At 45.4% G+C, this 14758-nt stretch overlaps 1 long non-coding RNA gene across 1 annotated transcript in view; it reads left to right on the top strand.

Moving 5' to 3' along the window:
- The first annotated feature begins 4391 nt into the window (after nucleotides 1-4391).
- Nucleotides 4392-14758, top strand: part of LOC124901432 (uncharacterized) — a 62877-nt gene continuing 52510 nt past the window's right edge. Inside the window, exon 1 of the long non-coding RNA XR_007059813.1 lies at nucleotides 4392-4473. This is a non-coding gene — a long non-coding RNA (uncharacterized LOC124901432). The remainder of the gene's footprint in view (nucleotides 4474-14758) is intronic.

Genomic DNA, 14758 nt, shown 5'->3' with positions numbered 1-14758 from the left:
GAAAGAAAGAGAAAGAAAGAGAGAAACACAAAGAAAGAAAGAGAGAAAGAGAGAAAGAAAGAAAGAGAGAGAGAAGAAAGAAAGAAAGAAAGAAAGAGAGAGAGAGAAAGAAAAAGGAAGGAAGGAAGGGAAAAAGAAACAACAGGACCAGCCTGGGCAACACAGCAAGACTCTATGAAAATTTAATTTAATTTAACTCAAAATAATAATAAATAAAATATATAAATAAAAAAAATAAATAAAAATAAACACCTTCATCAATGTCGCTCCTAAATCTTTTGGAGATTTCATGTATTACTGACAGACACACTCGTGGTTAGCATGAACAACTTAAGATTTACTGAAACATCCAGATTTATCCTGTGAAAATACAGTTAACTTCTTATATTCCAGTGAGTGAAAAGGCATGGATTTGAAGATTTGTCCACAGAGTGATGAATGGCTGTACTCTCAGTTTCTATCTGTGTGAAAATCTACTCGTCCTCACAGTCACAAGTTCTTTACATACTAGAAAATGTGTGAGAGATGGAGGTAAGGGGTGGCAGCTGTGGAGGCCAAAGTGGGTTTTTTTTTTGGTTTGTTTACCAACTAGATTTTGCTCTGGTTAAGACCGCATGGTACAAACCAAGAGAGATTTGTGTTTTCCCGTGTAGCAAGACATTCTAAATAAATGTTCCTTGAAGAGGGGACTTTTACAAACTTTGGCCTGGAACTTTGGCAAAAATCCAAAAAAAAAAAAAAAAAAAAAAGAAGGAGTGGACAGGAGCAGCATGGAACTGGGCTGGGGGGTGGAGTCAGCAGTTGAGCTCACAGCAAACAGCTTTTGAAGGTATTTTTTCAGCTCTTCTTTGTATTAATATAAGATATAAAGAAAAGCAACCTTTTTTGAGGGTCTGCTGTATGTCTGAAGTGCCCCCCTAACCAAGTCTCAGTGTGTAACCTCAATTTGACAACTGTTGGATACAAAGCCTTAGGCTAAAAGTCTATAATCCCACAGTCTGTAATCCCCTCCCTCATCCCTCTTGCCCCATTTATCAGGGCATCCATCTGAACTTCACAAGGAAAAGAACTTGGTACCTTTGGCCCCTTCTCAACCATATAAAAGCACCAAAGCAGGACAATGTAGGGATAGAAAGTATCTTAGAAACTACTAGTTTGCCAGGGCTACCAAATAATGTATGCCAAACTGGGTGGCTTAAAATAACACAAACACATTGTCTCAGAGCTCTGGAGGCCAGAAGACTGAAGTCAAGGTTTTACCCATGTTCTCTCTGAAACCTGTAGGGAAAAACCTTTCCTTGCCTCTTCTAGTTTCTGGTGTTTTCCAGCAATCCTTGATGTTTTTCGGCTTGCAGCTGTATCACTCCACTCTCTGCACCTGTCACCACATGGTCATCTTCTCTCTTGTTTCCCTGTCTCTGTCTCTGTGTCTCTTCTCTTCTTCTTCTTCTTTTTTTTTTTTTTTTTTTTTTTTTTTTTTTTTGAGGCAGAGTCTTGCTCTGCCACCCAGGCTGGAGTGCAGTGGTGTGATCACAGCTTGCTGCAACCTCCGCCTCCAGGGTTCAAGCGATTCTCCTGCCTCAGACTCCCGAGTCGCTGGGATTACAAGCGTGCGCCACCACGCCCAGCTAATTTTTGTGTTTTTCTTAGAGACAGGGTTTCGCTATGTTGGCCAGGCTGGTCTTGAACTCCTGAGCTCAAGTGATCTGCCCACCTCGGGCTCCCAAAGTGCCGGGATTATAGGCGTGAGCCACTGCACCAGGGCCAGAACTTTTAATATATCTCTTGCAGGGAGGGGACACAATTCAACCGGTAAGAGAGAGCATCTTCTTCCGCTCATTCCTTTTCGTTTGGTTTTGAGGAAAGTTAGGATCTCAGAGGTTGAGTTGGAGAGTCAATCTGTATGAAATGGTACATTATTATTCTTGGCAGTCCTAGTTTCAGGAGACTGGAAACCCATCTTGCTCTAGAGTAGGCTGAAAGGAGTTCTTGGATCACAGAACCTAAAGAAGAATGAACCATCCGACTGTGAGAGGTCCTCATTCCAGCCTGGCTTCCGAAGCTACTAGAACTAGGGGCGCCAGTGGGTCAGGATGTTTCTTATTCTCTTATTTGGGCTTCATTCTCTTTTGAAAGGATTTCTTTTAATGGTAGGTAACGTAGTCAGTTCCCAAGTTTTATCCTGGGAGTTCTTAGTTCTAGAAAAGGATTGCCTTCAAGGCTGGATCCCAAAGGCAGATGCCCTTGGGGAGAGAGCTGGTGGCCCATGGGGATAGGCGAGCTTGATCTTGGACCAGTGAACTTCCACCAGAGGAAGGGAGCACCATAAAAACAGGCCAGTTTCTGACCAGGCACAGTGGCTCACGCCTGTAATCCCAGTACTTTGGGAGGATGAGGCGGGCGGATCACTTGAGGTCAGGAATTTGAGACCAGCCTGGACAACATGGTGAAACCCTGTCTCTACCAAAAATACAAAAAGTAGCCAGGCATGGTGGTGCATACCTGTAATCCCAGCTACTCGGGAGGCTGAGGCAGGAGAATCACTTGAACCCAGGAGGTGGAGGTTGCAGTGAGCCGAGATGGCGTCACTGCACTCCAGCCTGGGCGACTGAGCGAGGCTCTGTCTCAAAAATAAACAAATTAAAAAAAGGGCAGTTTCTGCAGGAGTCTCACAGGGGAAGACAAGGGGAACAGGAGGCTGAGGAGACAATATGAGAGATGTCCACTATAAAAAGATAATTCAAGGGCGAAAATCCAATTTTTATGTAAATTATCCAGATGGGCTCCAATGCTTATTCATATTCACCAAAGAAATTGCTCCGTTCTCTATTTTATGTCATTTAGGAGATCAGGTTTATGTCTGTGCCCCAGGGAAAGGACCCATGACATTTACTACATTTGAATTCAAATAGTAATTTTAGATTAATTTGAAAATTGATTAGGTCAGATGTTTCTACAGACATGTTTTTGCCCTTTTATGCTATAGGGGGTCAAATATCCATTTATGGGTCCAGGATTTATTTGTAAAAACAGACTTTCAAGTCAATTACTAACATCCACTGGAGTTTAAACATGACCATTTTTAAAGTGCATATTTTCTCAAAAATATCCTTCTTTTAATTTCTTTTAAAGCATTTGTTTATGAGAAACAGGTAACTATGCAAACTCTAGGACTGTCATAAATGAATTAAATGTACTTATTTCTGGATTATCACTACTGATTGTCAGGCTTAATCAGTTAGAAAGTAAAAGTAATTTTTACCTCTTTCTGCTAAACTAGAGGACAGAGTGAGTATGGGAAGATGACCTTTTTCCTAGCAAAACGGCAAATTCTCAAGGTCCTAAATGACAGATTGCTCTCCTGAGTCCCCGGCTTGGCTCCCAGTTGCCAAAAGGCCATCTTCATCGGGATATGTGCGGACACCGCACACTCAGCTCGTGCAGAACAACTTCACCCCAAGGCTCCTCCAGCACTCGCTCCGTCAATGCCATCATCATCATCCATGCTGGGCAAACCTAGGACCCAGACTCCTCTTTCTTTTCCCCCCTTTCCCTGCCTTCCATGTGTCCTCCAAGTTTGACTCAGGACACTACCTATGTCAGTGGTTTCCAAACTTGTCTGAGGATCCGAATCCCCTGAAAGACTTTTTTTTTTTTCTTGAGATAGCTGGAGTGCAGAGCTGTGACGTTGGCTCACTGCAACCTCCGCCTCCTGGGTTCAAGCAATTCTCCTGCCTCAGCCTCCCGAGCAGCTGGGATTACAGGCACATGCCACCATGCCTGGCTAATTTTTGTATTTTTTGTAGAGATGGGGTTTCACCATGTTGGCCAGACTGGTCTTGAACTCCTGACCTCAGGTGATCCACACGCTCAGCCTCCCAAAATGCTGGGATTACAGGTGTGAGCCACCGCACCCGGCCCTGCTAAAGGACTTCTAATGAATTCAGATGTGGAGTCCCCTCCCTAGAGACTGAGTCAGTACATCTGGAAGTAGCCTGAGCATCTGCATTTTAAAGTCCTCCCCAGCCTCCTAAGGCGATTTAATAATGACCAGGATTTAGGACCAGCTGTCCTAAGCATCTCCATCCCCACTACTGCTGCCCTGGTTCAGCCCCCAGCACCTGCAGCCCCGCTTCTGCACTCAGGCTCTGCATTCTCTCAGCCATCCTCTACCGCATTCAACAATACCACAGCACACACATTGAATGCCTATTTTTTTCCAGGTACTTTGTTAACCAGTGGAAGCACAAAGATGAACAAACCATACTCCTCCCCTCAAGACAACTCTTTCGTGAGGGAGATAACCCAGGAAATAGGAGTCTATTCATGAGACCGCTGCTCTAACTAGAAGAATAGGAAGTACCAGAAGGTCACAAAAGAGGAGCTGATTAGCTCAACCTGAGAAAGTCTCCCAAAGCTTCACAGCGGAAGGAATGCTGAAGTGGGGATGAAGAGGTGTTGATCAGAAAAAAAGTAAGGATGGGAGGGAGGGAGAGGACATTTCAGACAGTGCTAAGCATGGGGGTAATAGGACTACACTGGTTTTTTTTCTTTGTTGACTTGTAGTAAGCGTAGTTTCTGTTCTTATAGGCAAATGTTGGGTTCCTTCTTTCTTTTTCTTTTTGTTTTTGTGGATACATAATAGGTCTATATTTTTATGGGGTATATTAGATTTTTTTTTGAGACAGGGTCTTACTCCATCGCCCAGGCTGGAGTGCAGTGGTGCAATCTCAGCTCACTGCAGTCTCCGCCTCCCAGGTTCAAGCGATTCCCCTGCCTCAGCCTCCCAAGTACCTGGGACTACCAGGTGTGTGCCACCATGCCCAGCTAATTTTTGTATTTTTAGTAGAGATGGGGTTTCAGTCCTAGCGCAGTGGCTCACACCTGTAATCCCAGCACTTTGGGAGGCCCAGGTGGGCGGATCACAAGGTCAGGAGATCGAGACCATCCTGGCTAACACGGTGAAACCCCATCTCTACTAAAAATACAAAAAACTAGCCAGGCGTGGTGGTAGGCGTCTGTAGTCCCAGCTACTCAGGAGGCTGAGGCAGGAGAATGGCATGAACCCAGGAGGCGGAGCTTGCAGTGAGCCGAGATCAAGCCATTGCACTCCAGCCTGGGCAACAGAGTGAGACTCTGCCTTAAAAAAAAAAAAAAAAAAAAAAAGATGGGGTTTTACCATGTTGGCCTGGCTGGTCTCGAACTCCTGACCTCAAGTGATCCACCCGCCTTGGCCTCCCAAAGTGCTGGGATTACAGGAATGAGCCACCACATGGGGCCCATTCCGTGCTTTACAACTCCCAGCTGTGGCAGTCAGCTAGGCAAGCCACTTAACCTTTCTGAATCTGTTTTATCATCTTGTAAACCAGGTTTAATAATAATTACCAAGTAGGCTTGAGGATTTAAAGAGAAAAATGCTTATTAAAACATTCCCAGCCTAATGTTCTCTTTCTTGACATGGGTGGCTACACAGGCATCTGCTTTGTGAGAATTCATTGAATTGTATGTTTTTTTGTGCACTTTTCTGTTTGTGTGTTGATGTCAATTAAAAAGATGTCAATTAACAATTGTCTAGCTTGCTGGCGTCTTAATAAATGTTCTAGATATTGGTTCTCTTTCCTCCTTGTTTTTTCCTGTTGGAAGCAGATTACCAGAGCTGGGTTGGATGGCTAATGCAGGAATGACATGCCAACATTTGCAAGAGGTGGAATGTGCTGTTACATTGAAGTACAAAGAGCAGTAAGATGAAATTTAATAGGAACCAACATGCAGGAGGTTCAAAAAGAAACAGCACAAGTAATGAGTGGAAGATGTGATTTAAGAGGAATTATGAAAAAGCTCAGAGATTTTAACTGACGCAAACGTAATCTGAGTCAACAGCCCAGCTTTGCCACTAAACTCTGCGACCCTCTGCAAAACAAGCAAGCGGATAAACCCAAACTGTAACCAAACCAAAACAGAAATCTCAATACAAGGTTAGGTTTCTGTAGTGGGGTAATGCTCAAATCCTAGAAATAAATACACCCATTGATTTCTTCATCCATCAGATCATATCTACATTGTAGGCTTTCAGTCATGGAAGCCTCTTCTTAGGATGGGCCTAGACCATTGACCATGTCCAGAGTTCAGTGACTAGAATCCTGAGAGATCTTAAAACCATGGCTGGGCACAGTGGCTCACACCTGTAATCACAGCACTTTGGGAGGCCAAGGCGGGCAGATCACTTGAGGCTAGGAGTTCGAGATCAGCCTGGCCAACATAGCAAAACCCTGTCTCTACTAGAAATACAAAAATTAGCTGGGTGTTGTTGGCTCACACCTGTAATTCCAGCTACTCCAGTGGCTGAGGCACAAGAATCGCTTGAGCCTGGGAGGCGGAGGTTGTAGTGAGCTGAGATCGTGCCACTGCACTCCAGCCTGTGCAACAGAGCGAGACTCTGTCTCAAACAAAACAAAACAAAAAACAAAACAAAAAACCCTCATGTCAATCATATAAAGATCTGGAGAATTTTTAGCTTTAAGAAAATATTTGGAGGCTGGCTGGGAGGGCTTCACATATTTGAAAAGATTTTGTCAAGAGTGATTGGATTTATTCTATGTAGTTCAATAAAGGAAAACAGTTCAACAGGTGAAAGTCTGGAGAAGCGTATTTTGGGCCATTTTAAGGAATGAGGTAGCTCATGACTGGGGCTACCTAAAAATGGAATGGATTCCCTGCCTGTTGCTGGCAGTATTTAGCAGAGGCTCTGTGGCTACACATCATGGCCATTATAGATTGTATTTTTATTTTAGGTGGGATGACAGATTATATGCCTCTGTTACGGGTTAAATTGTTTCTCCAAAAAAAGATAGGTTGAAGTCCTAACCTCTAGTACCTGTAAATGTAACTTTATTTGGAAATAGGTGCTTTGCAGATGTGATCATATTACGATAGGGTCATTAGGATCCAGTAAGACTGGTGTCCTTATGAGAAGAGACACATGGACAGGGAGAAGGCCATGTGGAGACAGGCGTGCAGAGGGGAGGTGGCCATGGAGCACCGGAGGCAGAGAAATGTGTCATGCAGCCGCAGGCCAGGAACGCCAAGCATTGCTGGCAACAACCAGAAGGCGGGAGAGAGAGCACAGCTCTGCTGACACCTTGATCTCAGACTTGCAGCCTCCAGAACTGCGAGAGAATACATTTCTGTTGCTTTAAGCCACTCAGTTGGTGGCACTTGGTTTTCCTAGCAGCCCTAGGAAACGATTACAGCAAAACCCCTTCCCTTTCACAGCCTTCAAATCCTTATTAGCCAGATGGCAACAATACAGGCAGGCCTGCCCCACCAAGTTATCTGACATACAGATTGCTCCGGCCTTCTGCAGCCACCCCCATGGTGACCGTCTTGCCCCTCAACCCTCTTGTCCTTGGCACCCCCTCAGCAATGCCCATGACTGCTGAGTGCCTGGGAGACCCTGTGCCCCATTTTGCCCTTCCCTTCTAGCCCTGCTTTCAAGCCCAGTGTTGCCCAGGGCTCTGAGTCTGGGGGCTCTGCGAGGCCCACGGTGGAGGCCAGCCAGCTACAAGAGCTCTGTCTTGCTGTCTGTAACAATCAATAGACATTGAGATCTCTAGCCCCCGACAGAGGGAAAAGGCTTTCTGAGATGCAAACAACTCACCTACAAATGAACTTCTGGAATACACCGTCATTTGTGAGTGCAGGAACAGTCTGTGTCGGACGCTCGGGCCCAGTTTGTAGATAAAGTTGTAGCAACACAGCATATTGTAACATTCACCAGTCCAGAAAGGTGCTGAGAGGGCTCAGAAAGCAACTCATTTTTCCTCCCACTGAAACTCAGGAATGTCCTTTGAGGACTTTTGCTGAGATATGCGAATGATTTGCTTTTCAAAAAAACTGTAAGTCAGGACCTCCGTGTGATTCTCACCCAAGTCCTTCTTATCATGTGCAGAACTTCTCTGGGTGCCTGATTCTCTCTGTGGTGGCAAAGAGACGGGGCCTGTGTGGGCCAAGGCGCAGAGCCAGAGAGGGAGGGTTTGGGGCGTTCTCCCAAGGACAGCAAGTACAATGTGGCCCTCCCTCTGACCTCCTTTGAAAGACATCGAGGGCTTGGAGTCCTTGCGTCCCCTACAATCCAGTGTGTCCTTGATGGAGTGATGCTGCTCTCCCTGCATTCCACCTCAGCCAAACAGCTCCACTTACCCCCTTTATATATTGGGGTGTCACATAAGATTGTACTTGGTAAGAATGTCCCCTGCTCACATATGTATGCATGTGTGTACCAGTTTGAAGGCCACTCTTTCTAGCCTGGAAGCACATCTCAATGGGTTTCATGGTGGCCCCTGCAAAGACATGCCTTGCCTTAATCCCTGGAGCCCATAAGGTGATGTTCTTTGGAAAAAGGATCTTTGCAGATGTAATTAAGTTAAAGATCTTGAGCTGAGATCATCCTGACTTATGTGGTGGGCTGTAAATCCAATGACAAGAGTCCTTATAAGAGAGAGAAGAGAAGAAAACACAGATCGAGAGAGAAGAGGAGGAAGTCTTGTGAAGACAGAGGCAGAGATTGGAGTGATGCAGCCACAAGCCAAGGAATGCCTGGGACCACCAGAAGCTGGAAGAGATGAGGTAGGATTCTCCCGTGGAGCCTTCAGAGGGAGTGTGGCCCTGCCAATCCTTTGATTTCTAACTTTTTTTTTTTTTGGATGGAGTCTCGCTCTGTTGCCCAGGCTGGAGTGCAGTGGCCCAATCTCAGCTCACTGCAACCTCCGCCTCCTGGGCTCAAGCGATTCTCCTGCCTCAGCCTCTTGAGTAGCTGGAATTACAGGCGCTGGCCACCATGCCCAGCTAATTTTTTGTATTTTTAGTAGAGATGGGGTTTTGCCATGTTGGCCAGGCTGGTCTCAAACTCCTGACTTCAGGCTATCCACTGGCCTTGGCCGCCCAAAGTGCTGGGATTACAGGCATAAGCCACCATGCCCAGTCTGATTTCAAACTTCTGGCCTCCAGAACTAAGAGAAATTTCTGTTGTTTGAAGCCACCACGTTGGTGGTACTTTGTCAAGGAGACTAGCAGAAGCATTGTGGGGCACGTGAATGTGCCGTCCCTGTGAGAAGGGAACAGGGGATCCTGCCTGTTCCTAACCCACCACTGGGACCTACCTGCACACACTTGGTGCTTACCCGTGATCTCAGCACCATGTCAAAAGGAACATTGTAATTCTACTTCCGGGAATCTACCCTGAGGAAATAACTGAGAAAACGTGCAAGGCTGTAACTCTAAAAATGTTCATCACAGTTCTGCTTGGAATAAAGGAAAGCTGAAAACAATCCACATGTCTCACCATAGGGGATCAATTAATTAATTATGCTGCAGTCATACAAAACAATCCTATGTAGCTGTTAAAATAACATTACAGAAATGGAACTCTCGATGTGGAAAGATGTTACTAATTTACTTGTATAAAAATACATTATGGTGAGCTTCAAATCACTGATAAGTTAAAAAAATACATTACGGTATGAACTCATAAAAAAATACGTAAGCACATGTATTACACATTATACCTAGAAAAATCTAGAAAGAACGGCTGGGCGCGGTGGCTCACGCCTGTAATCCCAGCACTTTGGGAGGCTGAGGCGGGCGGATCACGAGGTCAGGAGATTGAGACCATCCTGGCTAACACGGTGAAACCCCGTGTCTACTAAAAATACAAAAAATAGCCAGGCGTGGTGGCGGGTGCCTGTAGTCCCAGCTACTTGGGAGACGGAGGCAGGAGAATGGCATGAACCTGGGAGGTGGAGCTGGCAGTGAGCTGAGATAGCGCCACTGCACTCCAGCCTGGGCGATAGAGCCAGACTCTGTCTCAAAAAAAAAAAAAAGAAAAATCTAGAAAGAAATGTTGACGGTGGTTTTTGTTGAGAGCGTAGATGTTTTACATTCTTTTGCTGCTCTGTATTGCTTGTTATTAATATATAATATAATAATAAATTATATAATATATAGTAATATGAAAAATAGTTGTAATAATAATAAAAAGCAATCAAAGACATTTATTTCATTTGGGGAAAGAAAAAACCCTGAAACTTGTCATCAGCAACATAGTGAGGAATATCATTTTGCCACGTGGAGGATTTAGGGAGACATGTTGGTCCAGCACCAGGAAAGCCCTTGCTCCCGGGAAGTCAGAAAGAGATGCTAGAGGTTGCAGTGTCAGGAGTAGGCTAGTAAGCAGGGCAATACTTAATTAGAAAAATGCAGACTTCTCGCAGCCTTCTACATGCTACCATCATTGTAAATCTCCAAGAGATGTCTGCATTACCACCTCCCTTCCACCTAATTTGATCCCTAAGCCAGGAACATAATCTAATACTCCTGCTCTGAGAAACATACTTTAGGAAATTTTGGGATACCATTTGACCTAAAGCAGCTCAACTGAGTTAAGAGTAAAACTACCCAGATACAAATTAAGGAAGAATGTTTTCAGTTTTTATATTGCTGAGAAAGACAGACTTCTCTGAAGTGAACATAAGCAACAGTGAGCTGTAAACTGAATGCAAGTTAACTGTGTCTTAAAACAATATTAAAAGTCTGGCAAATAAGAACAGGGAGTTTGTTGTTGATTAGATCCTTTTTGCTGTTTGGGCTCTGTGTTTAGAAGGAATGCAGAAATTTTACAGAGGGTCTTGAGAAGGGTGGCAATCAATAAGGATAGGAGCAGGCTAGGTGCGGTGGCTCACGCCTATAATCCCAACACTTTGGGAGGCCGAGGCGGGCAGATCACGAGGTCAGGAGATCGAGACCATCCTGGCCAACATGGTGAAACCCCGTCTCTACTAAAAAAAAAAAGAGAAAACAAAAAATTAGCTGGGCGTGGTGGCAGGTGCCTGTAGTCCCAGCTACTCGGGAGGCTGAGGCAGGAGAATGGTGTGAACCCGGGAGGCAGAGCTTGCAGTGAGCTGAGATGGCACCACTGCACTCCAGCCTGGGTGACAGAGCAAGACTCCATCTCAAAAAAAAAAAAAAAAAAAAAAAAAAAAAAAAAAAAGGATAGGCGGCCAAAGAGGAGAGGGAGAGCTGAGGAGAAGGAAAATATTGACAGGTTTAGCTGATAGTTTGAACACGGTGGAAAGTGTCAGTGTACATGAAAGCTACCTGCCAACAGGTATCTTCCTTGTGCTCGCTGGTAGGTTAGAAAATGGGCCCTTTCCTGAAAACCCTGATGCCAGGAGATGTTCCAAGTGTCGTTGCTTGATGACGGTGACTCAGCTGGCCTTCTCTTTCCTGCCCAAACTCACAACAGTTCTAAGTTTGGTCCTTTTTTCTTTCTCTCTTTCTTTCTTCCTTTTTCTTTTCCTTCCTTCCTTTTCTTTCTATCTTTTCTACTCTCTTCTCTCTCTATTTTTCCCTCTCTTTCTCTGTTTTCTTCCTTTCTTCTGTCTTTCCTTTTCTTTTTTTTGAGACAGGATCTCAATCTGTCACCCAGACTGGAGTACGGTGGCACGATTACGGCTCACTGCAGCCTTGACCTACTTGGCTCAAGCAATCTGCCCACCTCAGCTTCCCAAAGTGCTGGGATTACAGGCATGAGCCACCACATCCAGCCCCTCTCTCTTTCTTTCTCTTTCTTTTTCTCTCTCTTTATTTCCTTCTTTTTTCAGAATGAACCTTTAGGAATCAGGAGACATGAATTCTGTTTGCAGCTTGGCTGCAAGCTTGCTGGGGGTGGAGGTCAGGCAGGGGCTGATGTCAATTCACAGCCTGCACAGGACGCAGGGGGCCCTTTACGAAAAGAATGTGATGGGACATCCTGCACGGGTAGGACACTCCTGGATTTTAACTTCCTGCCCCACAGCCCAATGCCCTCTGTTCCCAGCAGAGTCCTGGCTTTGCTGGCTCCTTCTTCCTGCCGTCCTTTCCTCTACTGCCTGTTCTTTCTCTATCTCTGCACAAGCCTTGAATATGAGGGCAGCCCTGGATGCTTTTATGAAGGTGGTGATTAGTTTTTGTGTGTGTGTGGTTTTTTGTTTCGTTTTTTTGGAGGGGGGACAGTGTCTCACTCTGTTGCCCAGGCTGGAGTGCAGTGGCACAATCATGGCTCACTGCAACCTCCATCTCCTCGGTTCAAGGGATTCTCCTGCCTCAGCCTCCTATGTAGCTGGGACTAAAGGCACACACCATCATGCCCAGCTAATTTTTGTATTTTTCGTAGAGACAGGGTTTCACCATGTTGGCCCGGTTGGTCTTGAACTCCTGGCCTCAAGCAATCCACCCACCTCGCCCTCCCAAAGTGCTGGCATTACAGGCATGAGCCACCTTGCCTGGCCTGGTGATTAGTTATAGTTCTTACTTTATTTTCTCTCCCCACTCCCAGGAGCAGATGTCCTCCTCTGCCCCTGGATACTCAGAGCAGACTCTGTGGGGCCTGCGGGCCTGTCCCTCAGCAGACACAGCATTGGAGCAGAGCTGCTATGCCCCCCTCCTCCTACCTCATTCAGGCACCTGTTAGCTTGGTGATGTTTCAGTCTGTGGTTTCCATACTTTGGAGCGCATGAAAATGATCTGGGTGGCTTGTTAACCCTACAGTTTCCGCAGCTTCTCCTCTAGAGAGTCTGACTGAGTTAGGGTGACTGTCCATTTTATGAAACCCCAAGTGATTCTGACGCAGAACCCCTGAAGCCGGGTGTGGGCAGTTACATATGTGCACAACTGGACTCTGATTATTCCTCCTCTTCCCAGGTCAAATCTACATTCTATTGATCTTATCATCTTTTTTTTTTCTGAGATGGAGTCTCGTTTTATCGCCCAGGCTGGAGTGCAGTGGCAGGATCTTGGCTCACTGCAGCTCCGCCTCCCGGGTTCACACCATTCTCCTGCCTCAGCCTCCCGAGTAGCTGGGACTACAGGCGCCCGCCACCACACCCGGCTAATTTTTTGTATTTTTAGTAGAGATGGTGTTTCACCATGTTAGCCAGAATGGTCTCAATCTCCTGACCTCGTGATCCACCGGCCTCGGCCTCCCAAAGTGCTGGGATTACAGGCATGAACCACCGCGCCTGGCCTATCTTATTATCTTAACATTCCTCTACATTTGCAATGCAAGTGGTTGGATGAAGTTCAAGTCCTTAGTCTATATATATATACATATATATATGTATATATATGGTACATATTACATAAATATAAATAGGATGTCTGCATAATTGATTGGGATGCTCTAGTGAGTAATGGGAGACTATTAATAGCTATGCCAAAATGTAGGGCGTGGCCTGGCCCACCTGGACCCTGTCTGTATACAAACCCTCTGTGATCTGGCCTCCTTCCCTTCCCAGCCTCCACTGAAGGCACTCCTCCTGGGGCCATTCCTGGGACTACTGTAGATTCCAGCCTCCCCGCACTACTGGAAATTCCTTTAATCCTCCCACGCACACGCCCAGATTGTCTTAGGCTGTCCTGCCCCGTGTTCCCATAGGGCAATGCTATACACACCCACTGTGGCTTTATTTTTCTGTAATTATTTGCTTACTAGTCTCTTTCTTCTCCCAGTAGGCCGGAAGCTCCTTTAGGACAGGAACTAGATTACATTCTTTGCTATATTTAGAGCCTAACAGACTAGGAGGCTAAAGCAATCACTCAACAAAAGTTTGTTCTCATAAAACAAGGTACATGAAACCATTAAATACTCACCAAGGTTCATTCAAGAAATACTTACTGAGCACCCACTACCCGATACCCTGCTTAGTCCTGGGCATGCAGATAAAGAAGGTCCTGGTCCTCTGGGAGCTCTCTTTTCAGGCCTGAGTTACTCTTATCAAAGGTGTTTGCATTTAAAAGGAGAATGTCTATGCGCAGTGATGCCGTGATTGGAATCTCTCCAGCTTTGGCTTCTAGAGGGAAAGAAGAGACTGAATGGCTTTAGATAACTTTCATGTATTAAACTCTTTTTGTATGTTGGCAAAACAAAAATGGCTACAACAGCAAAAAAGGCAAGAGTTGGACAAAAGCAACATAGCCTTGCAGCTAAGCATGCCGCCTCTGCTGCCTGCCTGCCTGGCAGCAAGTCTGGGCCCTGCCATATTTTTCACAAGTGACTTAATCTTTCTGGGCTTCAGTTTTTGCATCTATAATATGGGGATGATGATGGTAACTTCTTCCTTGGGGATCATGTGAGTATTAAATGAGTAACTGTGCCCGGCACATAGTAAGTGCTCAATAAATATTACTGCCACTAGATGCGATGGTCCAAAGACTACATCTTTATCTGGTTCCTGCAGGGTCCCAAGCATGTAGAGTAGACTCCCCTTGGGTCGGCTTCAGGGGAGCCTCTGAAGCACCGTGTGTAGGCCAATCCCCTGTCTCTGTGATTTGGGCTGTTGTAGAGAAACATCTGTAGCCTTAGGACCAGCTGGGAACAGCTTTAGGTTTGGATAATGGCCATTTTCAAGTTTTCTCCCAACCAGAGCAATTTTGGCACTGAACTTGGGACAAAACCAATAGGAATACATCAGGGATTACAGGAATCCCTGTAATCAACAGGAATAAATCAACTTATTTCTGTTAAGAACAATCCCTCAAATCAACAGGAATATAGGGGGAGCTGGCATGGTGGGGAGAGTAACACCGAGAATGAAGACCCTCTTCACGTGGCATTTTTCAAAGATTAAAGAAACCTGTTTTTAAAATTTCTTTTGGGGCACCAATATTACATGCCAATCACTGTCAATCAACAATTATTAATTAACTCATAGTGCTTTGTACACAT

Source organism: Homo sapiens, chromosome 6, assembly GCF_000001405.40.
Source record: "Homo sapiens chromosome 6, GRCh38.p14 Primary Assembly".
Classification (NCBI taxonomy): domain Eukaryota; kingdom Metazoa; phylum Chordata; class Mammalia; order Primates; family Hominidae; genus Homo; species Homo sapiens.
Note: the sequence above shows the minus strand (reverse complement) of the source record. Positions and strands in the feature narration are given on the sequence as shown.